The sequence below is a fragment of the Homo sapiens genome, chromosome 17, assembly GCF_000001405.40.
Source record: "Homo sapiens chromosome 17, GRCh38.p14 Primary Assembly".
Classification (NCBI taxonomy): Eukaryota; Metazoa; Chordata; class Mammalia; order Primates; family Hominidae; genus Homo; species Homo sapiens.
Genome location: NC_000017.11, coordinates 68,871,539 through 68,896,435, shown reverse-complemented (window position 1 = coordinate 68,896,435; position 24,897 = coordinate 68,871,539). Strand labels below are relative to the sequence as shown.

At 38.2% G+C, this 24,897-nt stretch overlaps 1 protein-coding gene and 1 long non-coding RNA gene across 9 annotated transcripts in view; one reads left to right on the top strand and one right to left on the bottom strand.

Moving 5' to 3' along the window:
• ABCA8 (ATP binding cassette subfamily A member 8) overlaps positions 1-24,897 on the top strand; it is an 88,104-nt gene that overhangs the window by 58,957 nt on the left and 4,250 nt on the right. For 5 of the 8 annotated variants that reach the window (NM_001375771.1, NM_001375772.1, NM_007168.4 and 2 more), the window contains 16 exons: positions 1,423-1,556; positions 2,126-2,263; positions 4,840-4,947; positions 8,930-9,100; positions 9,306-9,419; positions 11,121-11,240; positions 12,040-12,105; positions 12,554-12,645; positions 13,717-13,837; positions 14,456-14,573; positions 15,225-15,316; positions 18,757-18,917; positions 19,733-19,808; positions 19,882-19,976; positions 20,703-20,822; positions 21,036-21,176. In NM_001375771.1, the coding sequence (NP_001362700.1) occupies positions 1,423-1,556; positions 2,126-2,263; positions 4,840-4,947; positions 8,930-9,100; positions 9,306-9,419; positions 11,121-11,240; positions 12,040-12,105; positions 12,554-12,645; positions 13,717-13,837; positions 14,456-14,573; positions 15,225-15,316; positions 18,757-18,917; positions 19,733-19,808; positions 19,882-19,976; positions 20,703-20,822; positions 21,036-21,176 (1,867 nt within the window). Of the gene's footprint in view, positions 1-1,422; positions 1,557-2,125; positions 2,264-4,839; positions 4,948-7,009; positions 7,188-8,929; positions 9,101-9,305; positions 9,420-11,120; positions 11,241-11,573; positions 12,106-12,553; positions 12,646-13,716; positions 13,838-14,455; positions 14,574-15,224; positions 15,317-18,756; positions 18,918-19,732; positions 19,809-19,881; positions 19,977-20,702; positions 20,823-21,035; positions 21,177-24,897 lie in introns of those variants that run through there. The other 3 variants (NM_001288986.2, XM_047435109.1, XM_011524192.4) reach the window with 3 other exon arrangements.
• Positions 17,269-24,897, bottom strand: part of LOC105371874 (uncharacterized) — a 56,293-nt gene continuing 48,664 nt past the window's right edge. The window contains exon 3 of the long non-coding RNA XR_001752986.3: positions 17,269-21,264. This is a non-coding gene — a long non-coding RNA (uncharacterized LOC105371874). The remainder of the gene's footprint in view (positions 21,265-24,897) is intronic.

Here is a 24,897-nt window from a genome sequence, read left to right as displayed (position 1 = left end):
TAGAGATGCAGTGGACTAAAAGTAACTAAAACTGCAGAAAGTGAAACCATGGATAAGGGAGCACTACTATAAATATGGTCTTGTTTGTAGGAAAAGTCTTTGAAGCCAGTTATTGAGGTGTGTCCTCTCCACAGAAGGGCTCTTCTTAACTCTCTGTTTTGCTGCTCTCTCTAGTAAACTTTTAGCTGGTGTATGGTTCAACCAAGGGAATTGCAATCTCCTGTCAATTGCTTACCAACAAAATCTTGATGGTTTTTGGTGCACTCTTAGGCCTGAACTTCCCCAAACTCTGTTCCAACTAAAGTCAGTTTATTTAGGGAGAGTTTCAGCACATACTGTTCTTATGGCTTGCCGCTGTTCCTGAAACAAGAATCTCACCATTGCTTCAGAGCTGGAAGCATGGATCGTGCCTGATTCTCTTGGTGTGGAACCCCTGATTTGTGAGCAGGGTACTTGGCAGGGGTGGTGGCCTCTGGTCTTCTCAGCTTGCCTCTCCTGTCGTGGAAACTCTGCCCTACACGTGAGATGGGACAAGGATGATTGTGTCCCGGTGTTTTGGGCCTCTTATTCCTAGGGTAGAGCTTCCACCTTAGGATTAGGGAATGGGTGGAGGAAGAGAACTCCAGATCTCTTAGCCACTCTTGCCTGGTATTGATCTTCTGCAACGCAGATGTGGGGAAATGAGAAAAGTCGATGGGAAGCCCCTCCCGTGAAGATACTATAGCCCTGAACTGGGCTTGGGGAATAGGGATCCCTGTTCTTGCCCACACCCTTTCAGAGTGAAGCTTCTATTACACAGATCTGGGAAGGAAGTGGGGAGTAGACGGATCAGGCTGTGGCTCAAATGCCACAATTTCTCAGTGTTCTTACTGAGATTTAATACATTTTATTAAATAAATGTGTCATCATTTTCTGTATGCTCTTATAACAATTTCAAAACATTTTAATTTGTTGGTTTTTTAGGAATTTTTATAAGTTATGATTGTTTTTCTGGGGAGAAGGTCTACTGAGCTCCTCACATTGCTAGTCTACATGTTGTCTTCCAGTATCAAGAAAATTTTGAAAATTAATTAATAATCTAGCAGTAGTAAAATGACTTAGCAAATTTGGTGGTTAATCAATGGAAGTTATCAGTATCATTAAAGCTTTATTGGTTATGGACATTCATTGCAAGATTCTAAAATCTATTTTGAAAGACACTTGGAACTAAAAAAATCTTTTACATTAATAATAATCATAAGCAAATAAAAATATCATGAAGGAATTCCATGAGAAATAATAGATGTTATGTATGTTATGTAGAAAATATCCTGACAGTCCATATTACTGCTTCACATAATGACATTAACTGTAATTTGACTACACAACTTGACATTAATGTTTTTAGTTTTGTGATACCTAATATCTTTAACTACACCTTAGGGGCAAGCATTGATGACTTTATACAGTCTGTGGAGCACCAGAACATAGCTTTAGAAGTGGATGCATTTGGAACTAGAAATGGCACAGATGACCCATCTTATAATGGAGCCATCACAGTGTGTTGTAATGAAAAGGTATGCAGGTCTCTAATAATCTTTCTGAAAAATGTGAAAAGCTAACATAATATCAATATACTCAGGCTTCCAACTTAAGAAATAAAAATGAAAAGCAAATACTGTTTTCATTTATTACTTAGTGAATTGTATTCACTGGCATAAACAATTCATATATCCATCATTGTCTACTGGCACAAACTATTAGCAAAATACATACTATAGAATACCTACTATCAAGACTATATATAAGTTCGAACATTTCATGTTTCCCCTCAAGGATTTTATAACACATGTATTCCAAAACTTCTGTTTTGTTCTTAAACAATAAACACTGAACATATGATTCTGGCCTCAAGCAAGACATCCGGTGTCCTAAATATCAGATACATGATTTAGTTTTACTATATACATGTTTTGATTTACTTATACAGTATTTGATTTTACTTACACAGTGTTTGGCTTTTTATTGTGATTATTTAACACCATATGAAAAACATAACCTCTTAATTTAACATGTCAAATTTTGACTTTTTTAGAGAACAAAATGAAGATATTTGAGAACTTATATCCTACTTGTTATATTTTAGAATTACAGCTTTTCGTTAGCATGCAATGCCAAAAGATTGAATTGCTTCCCAGTTCTTATGGACATTGTTAGTAATGGGCTACTTGGAATGGTTAAACCATCAGTACATATCCGAACTGAAAGAAGTACATTTTTGGAGGTAAATATATATAATCTTACAATTCCTGACTCTCCTCTATCAGGAATCTCCCAGATCACCCTTTTAAGTGCTGGAATCTTGTTTTTATTGAGTAAACCACTGCATAATAAATTAACATTTGGACTCATTCTAGTTCTGTGACTTTGGAAAATCAATACGTTTTCAGAGCTTCAATTTGTTTAAAGTAAAATAAAATGAACAAAACATTTTTCAAAGAGAATAATGAGATCACATGGACACAGGAAAGGGAATATCACACTCTGGGGACTGTGGTGGGGTGGGGGGAGGGGGGAGGGATAGCATTGGGAGATATACCTAATGCTAGATGACGAGTTAGTGGGTGCAGCGCACCAGCATGGCACATGTATACATATGTAACTAACCTGCACAATGTGCACATGTACCCTAAAACCTAAAGTATAATAAAAAAAGAAAAGGAAAAAAAAAAAAAGAGAATATGAAGCAATAAAAATGAAATCTTACAGCACTGTGACCAGCACAAGAATAGTGAACAAATGAAACAAAGGAGAAAGGAAGGAAAGAATGAAGGAAGGAAGGAAGGAATGAACGAATGAATGAAGGAAGGAAAGAACAAAGGAAGGAACAAATGAAGGAAGGGGCTTTATTATTACTTTTAGAAATTTTACAAAAGAAATTCAAGACAAAGTTCAGGCTAGAATTTCAGACTATCTACATTAGAATTACTGCAGATTCTTGTCAAAAATATTAATTCCCCTGGCCTACTCCAGACCAATCAAACCACTTTTCCTCATGGGGGTGGTGAAAGGAGGGAATCTATTCTTAAACAAAGGTCCAAGTGATCGGAATGTATATAGCCCTTTAAGTTTAGAACCAGAATAACTAAAAGTTTGTAATGATTCCTTTTTAATTATTGAATACATACATTTCTCCCTTTCAGAGAGTTCTTTGAGCACATAGATCATGTATTTTTAACACTTTATAAATACCTTGTACGTAGGAAAAAACCTGTAACATGATAAACATGAAACAACTTAATTGTTAAATACATAAGTGAGTGTTAGGCTCATCAACTTATCTACATCTCATTCTAGGGTTTTATGATAATATATATGGCCAATAATCATATACTCATGTATACATAAAATGGATCACATATCTGTCATTCTTTTAAATTTATTTTTAGAGGCAGGGTCTCGCTCTGCCACCCAGCCGGAGTGCAGTGGCAGGATCATAGCTCACTGTAACCTCGAACTCCTGGGCTCAAGAGATCTTCCGATGTTGGCCTCCCAAAGTGTTGGGATTACAGGTGTGAGTCACTGCACCCAGCTGCCAGTATTATTTTCATATGGTCCAGCAAGATCTTCAGTTTCCTTCTCACACCATATCTCACTGTACTCAGGAAGTAAAACTTCCTTTCATTAAGGATGTGCGAGAAACTTAATCATTAAAGTAAATGATTTTAGGGACCCACCAAGTATTAATTAATTTTGGAATATATGCTATGGTTCACTTCATTAACATTTTGTGACTGTGAAGACCTTTTAATTTTCTGGTTTCTGAGAGTAGTATGCAATAATTGGGCAAATTGCCTCAGACTTCTATCTATCAAGATATCCTGTTTCAACTAGGATTAATTAGATACCAACCAGCTCAGCTGACTTTGTATTTATGTGCCCAATATAGTCACTTTAACCAATATCCCCAGCAACTCATTTTATTCTCTATTCTACTTTACCTGCTCATTGCCCGCAAAGTCAGAGTTGCCCAGATTTTCAGAACTTGCTTGTATCCTGCCCAAAGTCAATAGATTGGCCACTAAGTATTGACCCTACCCAGTACTCAGGACATTCTGGAAGCATCCAGACAATAAGCTATAACCTTACCATCTATGGTTAGCAAGTGTCTTTCTGGTGACCAAGCTGAAGACCACCAGGCTCTGGTTAGAACTTTCTTCAGTAATGTGTTTAATCAAAGAAGCAACTATGAGAATCATGAAAATAACATGGGACTGGCTTTCAAGAGAGTTTGTGATCTTTTATCCTTAAAGATTTTTACAAACAGGAGTAACAACAGATGGAACTAGGGCAAAGATTTTCTTGGTGATTTTGCTCTCCCTTCTAGTACTTCATCTCTCCTTTTGCGTCCTCAACCAATATTTATCTGGTCTCATGATGTACCTAAAAAACTGACTTATTATCACTGTACCCATAAAATGTTGGATATTTTTTGAGTTAAGCTGTCACATTTGAGATAAAGATCAGCTAAGAAATTGAATGTATCAACTGTGAATTATAATGTATTATTTAGCACCAAAATAAATTTTAGAATCATAAAGCAAGAAAAGAGAAAAATCTTGTTCTTATTATTTTCCAAATGTTATCAGTGCATTCATCTTTTCAATCACTTATCTGTAAATTTGAGTAGAAAGCCAAAAGTTAAGTGTGAAAACTGGAAGGATAATGAAGGAATCTGGGAATCTCAAAAGGGACCTAAGGCAGAATTATGTAAACTTAGTCTAAAATTTTAAAAATGTATTCCAGAAAATTAACTTTAAATTTCTTCATTCAGTTCATTGTATTCTTTGGGTTTTTCAGAATGGACAGGACAATCCAATCGGATTCCTGGCATATATCATGTTCTGGCTGGTTTTAACATCGAGTTGCCCACCTTACATTGCCATGAGCAGCATCGATGATTATAAGGTAATAATGAGTAATTGCAACTTCCATTATTTTGCATAATTGAAAGCAGAAGGTAATTTTACAATTTTTCATAAGAATATTTCTACATGCTTAATTGAACAGCCAATTCAGACATAAATTCTAAGTTATAAAAATGAAAGAAAGTTTTATAAGTTGAAATATATAGATAAATAGGTAATAGAGAATTATTCTGAACTTTATCTGGATATTCCAACAAGCTAGAATAGACAAACCAACTCTGAAAAAAAAAGCAAAGCTGGAAAATATGCTTCTGACTTCAAGGCTCACTACAAACTTGTAGTAATTAAGAATGTGTTGTATTAATTAAGAATAATTATGTAGATATTTTAAATGAAATAGACATTTCAGAAATAAACCCACACATATATCAATTGATTTTCAATAAAATTACCAAATAACTTAAATAGGGGTAAGATTAGACTTTTCAACAAATTGTGGTGGAACAAGTTGGTATCATTCTGAAAAGAAAAATGTTCTTAACATCCGTCACATGCACAAAATTAATTTGTAATGAATCACAGATCTTGTGATAGGCAATATTTTTCAGATGGGGAAGAAGAAGCATATGCTATTTTAAAAAAGATAACTTGAACTTCATCAAAGTTAAAAGCTTCTGCTCTTTGTAAAACACGAATAAAAAATAAAAGGCAGCCGAGCTTGGTGGCTCACGCCTGTAATCTCAGCACTTTGGGAAACCGAGGTGGGCGGATCACCTGAGATCAGGAGTTTGACACCAGCCTGGCCAACATGGCAAAAACCTGTCTCTACTAAAAATACAAAAATTAGCTGGGTGTGGTGGTGCATGCCTGTGATCTCAGCTACTCAGGAGGCTGAGGCAGGAGAATCGCTTGAACCTGGACTGCGGAGGTTGCAGTGAGCTGAGATTGCGCCACTGCACTCCAGCCTGGGCAACAGACCGAGACTCCATCTCAAAAAATAAATTAATTAAATAATTTAAAAATAAAATAAAAGGCAAGCCACAGGCTGGGAGAAAAATATTAACTATACTTATATATGTGACAAAGATTTGTATCAAAAATATGTAAAGAACTCTCATTCCTCTGTAATAGAGGATAACCTAATTTTTTAAATGGACAAAGTATTTGTATATATACTTTACCAAAGAAGATGTACAGATGGAAAATACTCCCATGAAAAGATGGTTAATGTCATGAGCAATCAGGAAGATAGCCTCAGTGAGATAGCTCTACACACTCAATAAAACTAATAATGTTAGAATGACCAACACTATCAAGAGTTTATGAGGATGTGGAGAAACCGGAACTCTCATGCATTGTGGGTGGGATTGTAAATTGTACAATCACTTCGCAAAATAATTTGGCTGTTTCTTATAAAGTTAAAAATATGCTTATTGTTATAACCTAGCAATTCTTCTCCTAAGTATTTACTCAAAAGAAGAAAAAACATCTTTCCACATAAACACTTGAGCATTAATGTTCTGAATAGCATTAATCATAACAGCCAACAACTTGAAACAACCCAAGTGTCCCCCAAGCAGTGAACTGATAAACAAATTCTGATATAGCCATACAATGGAATACTATTCAGCAGTATAACAGAAGGAACAACTAATAAATGCACCAACACAGGTGAGTCTCAGAACCATTACACTGAGGGAATGATAACCACAAATAATTAGGTACCTTTAATTAGGATGATTTAATTTATATAAAATTCTTAGAAAGGTAAAATTAATCTATAGTGACAGAAGGCAGGCTCGGGGTGTGGGGGGTCACTTGTAACCAGTGGTAAAGGCTATTGACTGCAAAGGATCATGGGAAACTTCAGGGGTTGTTCTACACCTTGCCTATGATTGTGGTACAGAAACATGCATTCATCAGACCTCATTCAGCTATATACTTAGTATGGGTACTTTTTCTTGTTTGAGAATTATACCCCCCAAAATTAAAAAGAGATTGTTGAAATAAAAGGAAATGATATTTTTGGAAATGCGAGAACTTGAAAAGATAAAGAGAAAACTTCAATATTGAACTGACAACTTACAAATGTTTATTTACAGACACTCATTAATCCAAACGAATCTATAATGTGTTTACAAATCACCTGAGCATCTTGTTTAAAAGATGATTCCGATTCAGCAGTTCTGCAGTGGAGCCAGATTTTGAGTGGCAATCTTAGGCGGTGAATTTATATGATTAATAACCCAGGCCAACTCCCATTTTTGTGACTTTATGGAAAAAGTCTATGAAACCTTGTGTAAGCATCTCTACTATGTCATCTTCATCTGTTTCGTTTTTTCTCTCTCTCTGTTGCCCACAAAAAGAGTGTATGGTTTATGTAATGTTCCCTTTTCATGTGGAACATGCAGGAATCTCAAGAAATTCCATTTACTAGTTTGATGTAACTATAAGTCTTTCTGGTGTTAACATAATCCAAACTTTAAAACTTCCTCCGCAGGAAACATGAACACTTTCTTTGGCTTTTGTGATGCCACAATTTCACCATGTTTATCCTAAGACTGTCCATTGTTTGTCTCCTTTGGAGATTCTCATTCCTCTATGTAATATTTAAATTTTGGAAATCCTCAGATATTGGCCCTTGGCTGTCTTCTCATGTTAGATACCATTCTGTCTTAGGCAAACCCATCTAGCTCTATGGCTTCGAATCCCCTCTACTGGCTGGTCACTCCTAGATCTGACTCTACCCCAGATCTCTAATTGTATCTAATTTGACCTCCAAGGTTGATACAAACTCCCTTCTCAGCATTTCCACAGTAGGCAACACAGATGTCTCAAGTTTCATGCTTCCAAAACTGAACTGAATGTAGAGATACTTAAATGTCTTCCCCCCTTGCTATTTTCTCCATATATAGCAGCACCACATGCTCAGTCATTTCCTAAAGATCCAAAAATTATCCTCAATTCTTCTCTTGCCTCTAATATGTTGAGTCAATCATCAATTCCTTACCAATTCAACTACCTGCATAGACCTGTGTCTGATGTTGTGAGGCTCTGATATGAATCTTTAGGTCAAATTATGTCTCAGGCAGGAGCATTATTTAGCTCATCAAAGCCCATCAACAAATGAATTTAAGTATTTTTTAAAAGAAAAAAATTCACAACTCTTAGAATAGTTTAATATACAAACCTATTGATTATACTGAAAACCACATCACTTCATAAGTAGTTTTAAAACATGTAATTTGGTATGTTTATTTAGGGAATGACAAATAATGTAAAATACATTTACATTTGTAAATGTATTTATATTTATGTAGATACACATAAATATTTGAATCAGTGATAAATACTTGAATGTGGACTATGGCAGAACAACACAATTTCTTTTATTCCAATTAAAGGATAAAGCAATTATATATGTGTGTGTGTGTGTGTATGTGTGTGTATATATATGGAGTGTGTATATATGTGTGTATATAAAATAAACACACATATATACACACTCCATATATATATCCATATATATGTGTGTGTGTGTATATATCCATATATATGTGTGTGTATATATATCCATATATATAATATATATATCCATATATAATATATATATATATATGGATATATATATATATATATATATATATGGAGGAGAGAAAAGAGAGAGAGGAATCACTGTGATGAGAAGGTAGTTGTTTAAGGGAATAAACTGTCCATCCCATTCACCCCTACCCACCTGTAAGTCATTAAATCACTGTTTTGTTTGCTGCAGTGTTCATGCTTTGATCATTCTAAGGTCTTCTTTTACATATTTCTGCCAGGTGTGTGATGAACATCAATGTAGTTCATTAAAGCAGCAGACTGGTTATTTATGTTTGTAACTATCCACATCCCTTAGTCCAGATTACATTTGTAGACATAATCTAGAATTGTTACAAATAAAGGTTTTGTTTGAATAGTTCCTTGCATAATCCACATATTCTTAAGCCACAAACTTTGTATCTTTGCTGTCTCCTAATTAGAACAGAGCTCGGTCCCAGCTACGGATTTCCGGACTCTCCCCTTCTGCTTACTGGTTTGGGCAGGCGCTGGTGGATGTTTCCCTGTACTTCTTGGTCTTCGTTTTTATATATTTAATGAGCTACATTTCAAACTTCGAAGACATGCTACTTACAATAATTCATATTATTCAAGTAAGTGACAATATCCAAGTAAGTGACAATATTCACAATATCATTGTGTGATTTAATTTGAAATTTTGGAACATTTCTATCAATATTTATATGGTCATAAATTAAAGAACTATAAAATCCTGGGCTATGACAATGTTTTGAATCCTAAATATTTTCCTTGATTGCATTTGTATTTAACTAAGCTTCACATTCCTGTTGATTTTAGATCCCATGTGCTGTTGGTTATTCCTTTTCCCTCATCTTCATGACATACGTGATTTCCTTCATCTTTCGCAAGGGGAGAAAAAATAGTGGCATTTGGTCATTTTGTTTCTATGTTGTAAGTATATTTCTTGTGGATGTATACTGTATATATTTGATATACAATTCTGAGCTAATCCTTTAAATTTTGCCCTCTGTAGGATGATAATATTATGGTCTATAATAAACACAAGATTACAAATTCAGTTACTGACATGGTCAAAACTAGAAATTACTTCACCAAAGTCCCTAATAAGAATTAATTCCATAAAGCCTCTCTTCTTTTGTCTAAATTAGGAGGAAACGTGTATAATTTAAGAGTGTCTATTCTAATTTCCTATGATTTCAGGATGCCAAAAGGTAAGTTATTAATTCAATAAATAATTGTTGACTTCTGCAGTGTGTCCAAGTTAAGATTGATAATGGGAGGAAGGAGATTAAATGGACAGTTTCAATCCTGAAAGGGCTCTCAAAAGATAAACAGATGAGTAAGCAACCACTTGTTAAAATAGTCACGAGTTATTTTCCATCTTAAGAGTCTATTATACAACTGAATAATAAAGAGGTCCATGAAAAACAGATAAGGGAGAGATTCATTTGTGAAAATGAAAGCAGAGATTTCTTTTAAAAGATGAAATCTGAAAAAGAGTAAGATTTCAGCCAAGAGAAGTATGAGGTACAAATAGAGATAACGAACAGAAACCTAGCAGAGGAAAAGCCCAAGCTGATCCTAGGAACTGGTAATAATCTCTCCTAGATATAGACAAAAAACAAGGTGCACAATGGCCATGGTCCTAGGTATGGCAAAAAATAAAATCATGGCGGCCCTTAAATGATGTTCTCAAGGATTTAAAAGCTTACAGAGCAGAACAGAAATAGGATTAGAGATAAACTTGCAGGAAGAATACTTTGATAGCCATAAAAATGATGGTTTGGAAGACAGAGAAATTAGAAGTACAACAACTTTTAAGTAGTCATTACAGTGTATTAGAAGGTAAAATATGAGGGCTTCCAGTGTACCTATCACTTTCTGTTATCCCTAATTTTGTATTTTAGTACTTCTGCTTAAGCCATTCCATGTTGTTAAATGCTTCTATTTCCCCATTGGTATAGTTACCAAAAGTCCTACCTTTCATTTTTGTTGTTTTATTCCTGTTAGATATCAATTTCAATGTTTTCTTTGATTTTTGATCATCTACTTTTATTTTTTAAAGTTTATTTACTGTAATTAAAATATTATATCTATGGGTGCTGGGTGTGTCTTATACCTGTAACCCTAGCACTTTGGAAGGCCTAGGTCAGTGGATCACTTGAGCCCAAGAATTCAAGGCCAGCCTGAGCAACATGGTGAAACCCCATCTCTACTAAAAATACAAAAATATTAGCTGGGCATGTTGGCATGCACCTGTAGTCCCAGCTATCCGGGAGTCTGAGGGAGGAAGATCACTTGAGCCCAGGAGTTTGAGGCTGCAGTGAGCCATGATCACGCTACTGCACTTCTACCTGGGCAACAGAGCAAGACTCCATCTCAAAAAAAAAAAGAGAGAAAAAAATTCTGCATATCACATCCTAGATTTATCAAGTGATACCTCATTTGTGAAACTCTAGGCCAAAGGAATTTGGCTAAGTCACTAAAATAAACTGTTAATGGAGATATACTGATTTCAGCTTGGTTTGCAAGATTGGAGTTGAAATTAGTAATATCTTCAAGATGAGCCATCTCGATTTGGAACTTACATTGAAATTCAGAGTGATTAACCTTCATATTTGCTTCTTTTAGGTCACTGTATTCTCTGTGGCTGGATTTGCGTTCAGTATCTTCGAAAGTGATATTCCATTTATCTTCACTTTTTTAATACCACCTGCCACAATGATTGGCTGTTTGTTCTTATCTTCTCATGTAAGTAATGACACAGTCTGTCCCAGTCCCTTGAAACTCATGACCAATTGTGAAGCTTTGCCCAATGTTGAAGGTCTACTACAACATGTTTAAAGTGCATGGGGTTCAAAGATTTCTGCCTGACGGAATCCAATTGATTTTCTCCCAGATAAAACAATATGTTCCAGCTGACTGGTAATGGAAAATTTGGTCCTGATTAATATATGGGAAGGAAGGGTAAGGGGTAGTGGGAAACAGAGTAGTCCTTATACTCATGTGGGGCCTTATTTCCTCCTTGATATGCTCGGCTTTAGAAGGAAGCAAATGAAATGTCCCTAATCTTTGGGATTTCAGAGTTCTAAAGAAGCACCCAAGATAAGCAAAGTCCTTTTTTCTGGCTGACTGATACCTATACCTATGCAAAAGGAAGGAAGTTACTGTACATGAGTGAAGAGGTATCTATGGGAAGGGGAAAGGAAGAGAAGGGGCCCCACAAAGAGAAACGATGGGCACAGGAAGGTATGTGAAGTTCTGTGTGAGAAGAATAAACACTGTCTCTCACTGTTTGGGGAGGTTAGCACGGATCTCCAGGATTCTCTCGCCAGGTGATTAGTAATTGATAAATCCTATTGCTTCAAACAAAAGCTCATAGACCTTGGGAGGAAGGAAGACAGCCCCTTGCTATACACTTTAGAAAGGACACTTAGGTGATATTCATGGTCAAATGTTAGCAGGGCTGTTTAGGGCCAATTCACGTATATGTGGACAAAATTCAGGAAACAAAAAACTCCCTGTTTAGCAATTGTCTTTTCTTTTGCAGCTTCTCTTTTCTTCTCTCTTTTCTGAAGAACGAATGGATGTACAGCCATTTCTGGTATTCCTAATTGTAAGAACACACTGTTCTTTAAAAATTATCACTTTTTACTAAATTTAATAATTTTCAGTTCTGTACACACTGTGAAACTTCTTTTATTAAGTTAGAGATACAGGTATCTATAGCCCAAGGAGATATAATGCTTGTAAAATCCGGAAGAATTATTTTTACAAAGATCAAATGACCAGGTAATGTGCCTCCCAAATTTTAAGGACTCTGTACAACTGTTAGAGGAAATGAGAAAGTAATAATATCACATAACTATAGTTGTTTCCTACGTTTCTATAAAAAAGATTGAAAATGAACTTGATAGTTTCACAATTTGCTGGATAGGTTATTAGGAGTTTGTAATTATTTCACTGAATGTATTTTTTTAGAAGTTCGGTTATTATTAGTATATCTTTGATATTGAACAATTATCTTTTTATGTTTCTAATTGTGCATCTCTCTTTATTCCTAGCCTTTCCTTCATTTTATCATTTTTCTTTTTACTCTTCGATGTCTGGAATGGAAGTTTGGAAAGAAATCAATGAGAAAGGATCCTTTCTTTAGGTTGGAAAAAACACATCAGATTTTTATTTTGTTGATCAATATCGTAAAATATTTTTCATGCATAAATCAATTCATTAACAAAGAGGTGCCGTTGTGCTAGGATAGGCTGGAGTAGGAACCATGTGCCCATACAAATAATACAGATCCAGATACCTAAACCCAAGAAGATTATGATCTAGTGGAAGAAACGGACCTGAAACATGGAGTATTAAGGCTCTATCTGACACTATCCACAGTGGAGCACTGGGGAAAGTTAAATGTGGCAGGTCCCATCTAACAAACAATATATTGCCAGTTGAATAAATGCCATTCATCCAGGAGGAAGGAACAGAATGATCCACTGGCCAAGGACAGCAATAGCTGTGTTCTTTTCCTGGTAGTGAGCATCCCAGCCAGTGGATCACAGACTGGTTCAGTTATTAATGGGACTTAAAAGCTGAGACTATTTTCGGCACCATACAAAGAAGAGTGACCATAAGCATCTTGCTCCCTCTGTGTCTCCCAAACCACATCAGTTTCATCTTTTGCTATTACAGAAAGTTGGATGGGAGACTGCCAAGATGAAAGCAGACCTTTAATAAATCTTCTGAGATCAGTATGAAGGAGGCACTCAAGGGAAGAGAGACTAGAATAAGTATATCCTGGATATTATCAGACTTAGAATGGAGAGGAAAAGTCAATATGCCACATATTCTGAAGAAATGAGAGATCAAGCATCTAACTTGTATTTTGCTAGAAACTCCTGATTACAAATATTCTGGCCCATTTTCCCCATGAAAACATAATGATGTCAACATGGTGGTGTCAAAGCCAGGGTTCCCAGAAAAATTACTTCATTGAGCTATGATATAAAAATTCTTCGTCAGCTATTAGGTTTCAAGTTGATATTGAAAAAAACATATTTCTATAGATAAGATAAGCAAGGAGGTTTTAAGGGGATGAGAGTTGTGAAGGGAGATTATGATGGTTTGTTAATTGCTCGTACTACTCAAACATATGCTTTAAATAATGCAACTTTTGATACAAAGATGAAAGCCAGAAATCAATATTAATGGATGGTTTTGACTCTAGAATTTCTCCAAGAAGTAGTGATGTGTGTCAAAATCCAGAAGAACCAGAAGGAGAGGATGAAGATGTTCAGATGGAAAGAGTGAGAACAGCAAATGCCTTGAATTCTACTAATTTTGATGAGGTAAAACATAACACAAAGGTTTTTTTATTAGTCAGTCTACCAGTCTAATTCTCTAATGATTTTGAGTTTCTCTGTTCCTTACAAATGAGGATCACTATTTTAGTAGGTAATTGCCATTTTTACGATTAAATGAGCGACTAAAAGTCATGTTAACTCTTTTGTTCTTAGAATAAATTAAAAATAGAGTGCAATAGAAATTATTAAAGCCAAGAAAGAATTTCAGAATCTGAGCTAAGCAGCAGACATCATTGCTTGTTGGAGAAAGTGCACAGTACAAATTCAGGGTCAGGTCCAGCCCACAGCATTTGTTTTGTTGTTTGAGGATAATCAGTGCTTCTCTAAGTTTCATTGCCCCCGTTTGATCTGAAAGGACAGGCAAGCTGTATAAAATACTGTGCTCCTGAAAAAACTGCCTTTGTAGGAGAGGAAAATGAGTCTCTCCTCTCCAAAAGCAAGTGTTAGGATAGGGCATGGCCAAGGAGCATGTCACCAAATAGAAGGTCTTCTTTGATGCATGGCTGGGGCAACAAAGGGTCCAGCCAATGGGAAGATGGAATTTTGTTTCAAAGCTAATGGAGAGAATTAAGGTCTGACATAATAACTTCTTGTCATTTACAGAAGCCAGTCATCATTGCCAGCTGTCTACGCAAGGAGTATGCAGGGAAGAGGAAAGGCTGTTTTTCCAAGAGGAAGAATAAGATAGCCACGAGAAATGTCTCCTTCTGTGTTAGAAAAGGTTGGCCATAGGGATCTTCCACTTCTGGCTCAGAGCCCTCCTCAGAGGTTCCTGGTTCCTAATGAGCATTATTCTGGAAACCACCTCTTGGTTCACATGCAGACCCAGAGGAGAATGACAATGACAGCTTCCTTTGTATGTTTCATTTCTAACTTAAATTAACTCACCTCACAAAGAGGAGCCTAGTCACATCTACAACTAAACCATAAGCTCTCTAATAAGATGAACTTTTGAAGTAATAACATTTCTATTAAATGAACACAATTGATTTCCTAAAGTTCATTGTTTTTCACAAGAGAACCAAGATGTGCTAGCACACTCTGAAGGCTTGGCCAGCAAGTGTTAGATGACCTCAGTTTGTGCCATTATTGCACCAAGGTTAGGATCACAGGAGACAGAATCTGAAACACTTGGCTTCCAAGAGTGGTTTTGCCACTTTCCATCAGTGTGACTTTGCACAGGTAACCCCATCATTGAGAGCTTCTGCCCCAACTACATAAGAAGGGGCTAAAATAACAACTTCTCAGGGTGGTTGTGACAATTAAATGACAACTAATAGCAAATGCTTGTCACATAGTGAGATTTCAACTATGTTTTACTCTTAATGTTACCATTAAAATAGATTAATATTAAGTGTAACCTTTTTTTCAGGTGAAGTTTTAGGATTATTAGGACACAATGGAGCTGGTAAAAGCACATCCATTAAGGTGATAACTGGAGACACAAAACCAACTGCTGGACAAGTAGGTGAATTATGTGGAAAATATGTTATCTAATGGTGAAATAGATTGATAAGATTTGATGACCTTAAAAACAACAGATTCCACTTAATCCTTATATAACTGAAGTGATTAATGAACTACCCAAGAGAATAAATTCACGAATTATCACATAAATGCACACAAAAGCTAAGCACTGAAAGGTTGTCACAGAATCCTTAGGGTGTCGCTTTTCCAGTCAAAACCTCTGGAGCTGGTGGCGCCTTTGCCCAAGTTTGGCTCAGACCCGCTGGGCTCATTCTGTCCACTCAGCTCAGCAGGCTGCACTCTGTTCATGCCACCAGCCTGGATCCCAAGCCTGCCAAGAATGAGCCAGGTGCATAGCGGTGATGGGTGTGTGAGCAAGCATGGGGTCTGGCTGCTGCACACAGCCAGGCATGCTGGTTGTGGTGGGGCAGGCTGCTCCAGGCACTGGCACAGGCGCCACCTCCATGCTTGCATACTGCAAGCGGCTTCCACTGCAGGCACCAAAAAATGTGGTGGCACCCAGAAGCTTGGAGGTGCCAGAAACCACAGAGCCCTAAAAAGGATGTCACAGCCCTGGCTCGGGGATCCCCTAAGTCTGGGATCCCCGAAGGGCTGCAGCTCTTCTCTGCTTCTCATTGCCTGCAACATGGCAAGTGGGGGGCATGTTTCAGCCCTGTTTGTGTTACAGCTTTTTTAGTCCCACCATTTGGCAGGTCCTGAGCTCTTGTCCCATGTCCAGGAAGAATGAGGTATGTGAATAACTGGAGGTGAGGAGCTTCACTGAGCGACAGAATAGCTCTCAGGAGACCCAAAGTGGGTCTCCTATTTGTAGGCAGGTCATCTCGATGAGTGTCCAGCCCCTAATGGAGAGGAGACCCAAAGTGGGTAGCTCCTTTCTGCAGCTGGTAGTCCCTAAGTCTGTGTGAATCTGGCTGAGTCCAGGATTTTTATGGGCTCAGAAAGGAGGAAGTGTGTGCCATTTGGTCCATGAGTGGCCATGGGCAGGCCTGGAAAAAGCATCATAAGTTCTCACTCTGGGTCACAGACTCCACCTAGAACCGGCAGCCTGGCACCCAGGCTTCAGGCCATCCCTGAAGCTTGAAGGTGGCTTGAAGGTGGGGTTTCACCAGAGAACCACCCCTTTCTATCCAGGAACCTGTCTGCCTGCTGCCATCAACATGCCATCTATGGCACCCAGGTGGTTTGTGCTGAGGTGCACCTGCAAGTCCATGCTGAGCTGCCCTCAGCACCCCCCCGGACTCCCTCCCACACTTGTCAGGGCCCAAAATCCAGAGCGAGCTGAGGTGGCAGGAGGCTGGCATGGCAGTTCCACCCTGGGCACGTACACACCCAGCAGGGTTGCAACAGCACCTGGGCTTGGCCACAACTTTGCTCCAAAATTGGAGCATGCAACTGCCCCTGAGATTCAGTAAAGGATGCTCCAATTCAGCGAAGGGCAGGGCTCTTACCTGTTTCTGGCCCCTGCCAGTCCCCCGGAGTACACAGCCCCAGTCACACCTCCCCTGCTACAGCCAGCATCTTTGCTGTGGTGGCTCCAGACAGGCTGCCACTGCCATCAAGGAGTAACTATTAAAGGTATTAAGACGTCTCCCTTGCTGCAGCCAGCATCTTTGCTGTGATGGCTGCAGACGGGCTGCAGCCACCATCAAGGGGTAATTATTAAAGGCATTAAGAGAGAATGTCCAGCATCAGAGCTGAAATTAATGCCAGAATTCACACACATCCTATTTATACTGCCATCAGTCACACGGATTTGCACTTTCAGTGAGCATTGTCTTTCCAGTATGTAATATTTAATCTTTCATAAAACTGTTTTTAAAAAACTGTATTAGACAGTTGTCCTTCACAAAATGCTTAGTTATTGGAACATACATTTTTGTGCAAATGCAACTATTTTTGGGGAGTGTTTTCAAGAAATAGATCAAAAATTAGATACAAGGGGGTGAAATTGACTTTAATTGTACTTCTAATTTAGTTGTATAAGGTGGCTAGGCAAACAGAAAAAGAGCTCAGGTTTATCTAAGAGAGACATCATGGGGTAGAGATAAAACATTTTCTCCTAAATTCTATGGCAGAAGATAGAAAACCTTAAGAACTCTTTTACAAAGAATGTCCAAGGGAAGTACAGAACAGAATATAAGGCAGATGCCTGTGAAACTGTACCGTGGGAAAGGGGCTAGTAGTCAAGCCAAGAAAGGAAAAGACAGCTTGGAATGCTATTGACAAATACTCCACTAATGAAAGAAGAGAAAACCGATATTCACAATCCCTCTGTAGCCACAGTGAGAGCAGATGTTCATGAAGGTACCTCTCTGCTGGTGGCTTGGCCAACTCTAATTTAGTCCTTAACTTCAATCATGGACACCCTCCAACTCAGTCACCACCTGGGCCCAAAGTCAGTATTTTATTTCTCATTAAGCATGGGAGGAAAGGAGATAACTGCTCATTAATACATTGGAATGAAATCTTGTAAAAGGTAAGTCTGACCTGAAGTAGAAAGCCAGCCATTTGGGTGTCACAAAATAAGCTTAATTGGATCAGCCAGCGTGAGTTTTTTTAATCCATGCATTCTCCTGATTAAATACTTTCAGTGAACGCTTGCTGCTCTATGGCTGGAAGGACACATCCCTGCTTGTCTTGCAAGCAGCTGCAGGAACTGGCTTCCCTGTCCCTCTTGCCACATATTTGTCCTCCCCGTCAAGCTTCCACATCAAGCTTCATCCCCACACAGGGCTTTGGTCTCGCTCTTGCTCTGCCCCAGATTCCTTGCTCTTGCCTTTTTTTCCATGACTAGCATCTTCTCCTCTTTGTTGAAATGGCCCTCAGAAGACAGGCTCTTTCTAATTACCCTACCTACTGCCACTTCCCCAGTTATTCTTACCCCAGCCTCCTGAATTTCCATAACAGCACCACTTTTGATCTGTCTTTATTCTGCATGTTCATTTCTCTACTTGTTTATTGCCTGATTCATTCAGTAGAATGAAAACTCCAGATAACGAAGCACTAGTTATTCCACCCTCCGCTGTACCCACAGGCAACACAGCACTTGTTACATAGGAGGTACTCAAAAGATGTTGATCCATGAGCGAAGTTAAATAGTAATTCAATCAATATGCTTCATTTTGACAGTGATTTAAAAAAAATGGATATAAACTGTTGGCCAGGATGGACAGGCACCACATTTATGGGATATTGGATTTTTCAGCTGAGATTGGATTGTTGGCTGTGGACACACTTATTTTCCTGTATTTGCTCTCTGACAACCTTTCTCCAATGCAAAATGATTACAGATTATTAAACCCAATGAGGTTTAGAGTTTCTCTAGTTTTTCTAGGTTCGTGAAGAGAATGATGTCATGGAAATACTCAAAGAAGCAGTGCAGAAGGTAGGTTCTGAGAGGGAACTTTCATCTGCAGGTGCTACTGAAAGGGAGCGGTGGAGGGGATGCCCTGGAGTTCCTGGGGTACTGCCCTCAGGAGAACGCGCTGTGGCCCAACCTGACAGTGAGGCAGCACCTGGAGGTGTACGCCGCCGTGAAAGGGCTGAGGAAAGGGGATGCTGAGGTTGCCATCACACGGTACACAGAGGAGCCACATCTGTTCTATACCCAAGGGAGGGGTGGAGGAGGTTGAGAGTGATGACCCTCACAGGAAATTCAGGATGGGAGACTCTAAATGCTGACCCAGGTCACACTGGGTAGATTTACAACTAGAAACTCCTTTCCTGGATATCAAAGTATTAAGTTTCTTTCTCATATTAAATAAGAAAATTTAAAAAGGCTGGGCGCAGTGGCTCATGCCTCTAACCCCAGCACTTTGGGAGGCTGAGGCAGGTGGACTGCTTGAGCTCGTGAGTTTCAGACCAGCCTAGGCAACTTGGTGAAACCTCATCTCTAAATTAAAAAGAAAAATACAAAAATACAAAAATTAGCCGGGCATGGTGGTGCGCACCTGTGGTCCCAGCTACTTGGGAAACTGAGGTGGGAGGATGGCTTGAGCCAGGAGGCAGAGGCTGCAGTGAGCCAAGATTACACCACTGCACTCCAGCCTCGGGGATAGAGTCAGACCTTGTCTCAAAAAAATAATAATAATAAAATTTAAAATTTAAAAAGTAATTATTCATTGCTAAAATGTATAGAAAATACTAAAATTTGGACTGTCATAGAACAACTATTTGGATATCATGTCATGTCCTTCTATTTCTTCAAAAAGCAATATTATCTTTTGTAGGGGAGCAAGTCAGCCAGTAATATCACCCCTCCTTCCCTGCCCCCCGACCACATGTATTTCCAGAACTGCATTTTTGAGTTCTGCTTCTCCACCCTTGCTTGGGTTATCCTCTTATCTATTTCCTCTTGTCAAGAAGACTGTACGACTCTCCTGTTTCCTTCAGGTTAGTGGATGCGCTCAAGCTGCAGGACCAGCTGAAGTCTCCCGTGAAGACCTTGTCAGAGGGAATAAAGAGAAAGGTACGGGCAGGGCTTGGTGTTGCTCTGCAAGTGCCATAGATGGGAACCAGATGGGCTGTTCCTCCCGTTGCAGCTGTGCTTTGTCCTGAGCATACTGGGGAACCCGTCAGTGGTGCTTCTGGATGAGCCGTCGACCGGGATGGACCCCGAGGGGCAGCAGCAAATGTGGTGAGGAACATTACCACGGTCAGGGACAGCACGGATGACTTGCATGGAGCCTGTGAACCATTTTTCTTCTGTAAAAATTGTCCCTTAAACTCTTTTGTGGAGAACAAAAAAACTATCAATGTCACTTGTAAAACCAATACTTTGCAAAAAAAAAAGATCTTTCCCTGATGATATTTTACAACCATTTCTTATTGAAGAAAGAATTACCATTGTTAGGGCCCATAGGTCTCACTCTTGAGTTTCATAAGCGCTCAGCTGATCTTTTAGGTGCATTTCTAGATCACAATCACGTAGTGTTCCATACTTAGCATGAGAACAGTAGTTCTCATTAAGGTGTAAACATGGTTGTCATTGTACGTGTTTACTGTACATTTTATTTTCTTCTCACTAGGTTGTGAGACGCTGTTGTTAAATTTTATGTCATTCTGTTCCCCTTCACACAGACTTCTCACAAACAAGCCTCTCTTGCTTAGCACTTCTCTTTGAACACAACCCTATAATGAATGTTGTGTTCTGTAAACGCCCCTCTTCCAATGCATGATTCCAGTTTAACAGCTCTCACCTAGCTTGTCCTTCCTCATCCTACCTGCCCTATTAAGAACCCTCTTTTACTTAATCTCTTTTTGCTAATTATTCACACGCATGCCAGTTAAAAATTCTTTTCTCTATCTCTTTCTGATTAATTAGAGGATTTCCTAAATTGCAAATAATCTCTTGACATTATAGGCAGGCCATCCGGGCCACCTTTAGAAACACGGAAAGGGGTGCCCTCCTAACCACCCACTACATGGCAGAGGCTGAGGCCGTGTGTGACCGAGTGGCCATCATGGTATCTGGGAGGTTGAGGTGAGTGCCTGTCCTGGACCCACACTTGAGCCCAAGGTGCATTGCTGGAAATTTTTGTCTGTGGCAGGGAGAGATCACTGAAAACAGCTGAAATGACTGTGCCCAGGTCTAACAATAGGGACCTTGAGACAATGCTAGCAGCAAATCAAGTTTCTCAAACAACATACTGAATGGTTTTTTTTTTCTCCTTTCTCATATGACCTCATCCTCCAGATGTATCGGTTCCATCCAACACCTGAAAAGCAAATTTGGCAAAGATTACCTGCTGGAGATGAAGGTGAAGAACCTGGCACAAGTGGAGCCCCTCCATGCAGAGATCCTGAGGCTTTTCCCCCAGGCTGCTCGGCAGGAAAGGTAAACATGGTTGCTGTTTTGGAAATGGTACCAAATGTTCACTGTTACTTGTCAGTTATGTTGAGTGATAGTCATTCAAAAGGAAAACCTAAAAGAAAGAGATTATTTGTTGGATTCTGCAGGAAGTAAACTAGAGAAGAGAAAGCAGACGTAAGAGCTGATATAGCAAATGTCATGGTTCCACTATGCGCCAGGGGCTGTCCTGGTATTGTGTTATCCTATCCAAAACTTACAGAGACTTTTCACCGTAGACATAGCTATTCCAGTAAAAAAAATGAGTAGACTTCAAAAAAGCGTTGTGAGTATCCTTCGTAAATGAAATTGATTATTATCTTTATGAAGTGGAAATTGGCTGAGAGACAGGTTAGGTCACATGAGAAGTTAACAAGTGGCAGAACCAAGAGGTAAACCTAATTATTTTATTTCAAATCAATTAACATTTCCAATTTTATGTAAATTCTGGTAACAGCATCATCCTGATGTATTTATTTTCATAGACAGAAAAAAATTAAAGAGTAGCCTTAGGATCATTTTTAACACCTAGAATTTATAGCAGATGATAGATAATTTAGGAGTTAGGTGAAAAAAATGATAACAAGGAGAAATAAGTCATCATAACAATGTGGGAAAATATATTTCTACAGTGTAATATAAATGGAAAAGCAATGCTATAATTCAATGTCCAGCTCATGGCTGTATAGAAATACATCATGAAGCCACAGGGAATAAGCGAAATAGGTGAGAATGACTGCACCATAAATATATGTAATGATGTCTTGTGAAATGAAATGTAAATCTTCTTAATTTTCAAATGATGAAAAGACAAACATTTATCTGAGAAACAAAATATTAAAAAATGTTGTTGCCTACCTTATTTGGTGCTGAATTTCTGCTCTTCTAACCAGAGGCTCAATTACATTATCCTCTATTAGGAAGGCAGTTTGAGTAGGATGGAGGAGAAGGAGAGATATGTGACTTGTGGGAAATATATCTAGATTTCTACCCTATTTGAGGAACTTTAAGAAACTATGCAGTATAAATTCCTTGTTGAAGGATGAAGTTGAAGATCAAGTATTCAGTTAGAAAACAAGGTGGAAGATGACTTTGGCAAATCTTGAAATATCATCTGGACAGCACCTACTCACTTCCATCCAAGGGGCCAACAACACTAAACTGTCTGAGTATTACACTCCCTTCCCCCAGTTCTCCTTGTGAACTGCTTCCTTTTGATTATTATCAATTCACCTTACCCTTTTTTCCTACACAAAACTGACTCTCATTTATAGAAATAACAACCCACATACAAAGCTACACAAATCAAAACAATATGGCACTAGTGTAAAGACCAACATATTGATCAAAGGAACAGAATAGACAGCCGAGAAATAAATCCCTGAATATATGGCCAACTGATCTTCAAAAAGCGTGCCAAGAATACATGATGGGGAAGGGATAGTCTCTTCAACCAATTGTGTTGGGAAAACAGGATATCCACATGCAGAAGAATGAAACTAGACCCCATCTTATGCCATACACAAAAATCAACTCAAAATGGATGAAAGACATAAACATAAGACCTGAAATTGTTGAACTCCTAGAAGAAAACATAGGAGGAAAGCTTCATGACATTGGTCTTGGCAATGAGTTCATGGATATGACAACAAAAGCATAGACAATAAAAACAAAAATAAACAAGCGGGATGATATAAAACTAGAAAGCTTCCACACAGCAAAAGAAACAATTGACAAAGTGAAAGGCAACCTATGGAATGGGAGGATTATTTGCAAATTATATATATGACAAAGGGTTAATGTCCAAAATACAGTCATGCACTGCTGAACAATAGGGATACTTTCAGAGAAATGGGTCGTTAAGCAATTTCATCATTGTGTGAATATCACTGAGTGAATTTACACAAACCTAGATGGTGTAGCTTACTGCAAACCTAGGCTATATGGTATATCCTATTGCTCCTAGGCTACAAACCTGTACAGCATGTGACTGCAGGGAATACTGTAGGCAATTGTAACACAATAAGAACTTGTGTATCTAAACATAGCAAAAGATAGAGTAAAAATCGGCATAAAAGATAAAAAATGATACACCTGTATAGGGCACTTACCATGAACGCAGCTTGCAAGACTGGATGTAGCTCTGGGCGACCATTGGTGAGACAGTGGTGAGTGAATGCGAAGGCCTGGGACATTACTGTACATGACTTTTATAAACACTGTACACTTAGGCTACACTAAATTTACTTTTAAAATTTATTTAATAAATTAACCTTAGTGTTCTGTAACTTTATAAACTTCTAAAATTTTTTTAACTTTTTAACTTTTTTGTAGTAACACGTAACTTAAAATACAAACACATTGTATGGCTGTACAAAAATATTTTCTTTTTTCATATCCATATTCTATAAGCTATTTTCTATTTCTAAAATTATTCATTTGTTTTTTCTACTTAACATTTTTTATTAAAAAGTGAGACACAAACACACACACATTAGCTGAGGCCTACACAGAGTCAGGATTATCAACATCACTGTCTTCTATCTCCACATCTTGTCCCACTGGAAGGTCTTCGGGGCAATGACACATGTGGAGCTGTCATCTCCTGTGATAGCAATGCCTTCTTCTTTTTTTTTATTTTTTTTATTTTTTATTTTTTATTTTTTTTTAATTATACTTTAAGTTTTAGGGTACATGTGCACATTGTGCAGGTTAGTTACATATGTATACATGTGCCATGCTGGTGCGCTGCACCCACTAACTCGTCATCTAGCATTAGGTATATCTCCCGATGCTATCCCTCCCCCCTCCCCCCACCCCACAACAGTCCCAGAGTGTGATATTCCCCTTCCTGTGTCCATGTGATCTCGTTCAATTCCCACCTATGAGTGAGAATATGCGGTGTTTGGTTTTTTGTTCTTGCAATAGTTTACTGAGAATGATGATTTCCAATTTCATCCATGTCCCTACAAAAGACATGAATTCATCATTTTTTATGGCTGCATAGTATTCCATGGTGTATATGTGCCACATTTTCTTAATCCAGTCTATCATTGTTGGACATTTGGGTTGGTTCCAAGTCTTTGCTATTGTGAATAATGCCGCAATAAACATACATGTGCATGTGTCTTTATAGCAGCATGATTTATAGTCCTTTGGGTATATACCCAGTAATGGGATGGCTGGGTCAAATGGTATTTCCAGTTGTAGATCCCTGTGCAATGCCTTCTTCTGAAACACCTCCCGAAGGACCTGCCTGAGGCTTTTTTACAGTTAACTTTTTTATAAGTAGAAGTAGTACACTCTAAAATAATGATAAAAAGTATAGTATGGTATAGTATAGTATATACATAAACTAGTAACATAGTCATTTATCATTATCAAGTATTGTGTACTATAGATAATTGCATACTTTTTTATGATTGGCAGCACAGTAAGTTTGGTTACACCAGCATCCCGACAAACACATAAGTAATATGTTATGCTATAATGTCATCATGGCTATGATGTCTCTAAGCAATAGAATTTTTCAGCTCCATTATAAGCTTACGGGGTCACTGTCATATATGTAGTCCATTATTGATTATGACATCATTATGTGGCCTATGACTGTGTATAGGAAATTCCTAAACTCCAGTAGCAAAAAAAAACTAATAACCCAATTAAGAATGTGCTAAGGACTTGAATAGACATTTCTCCAAAGAAGATA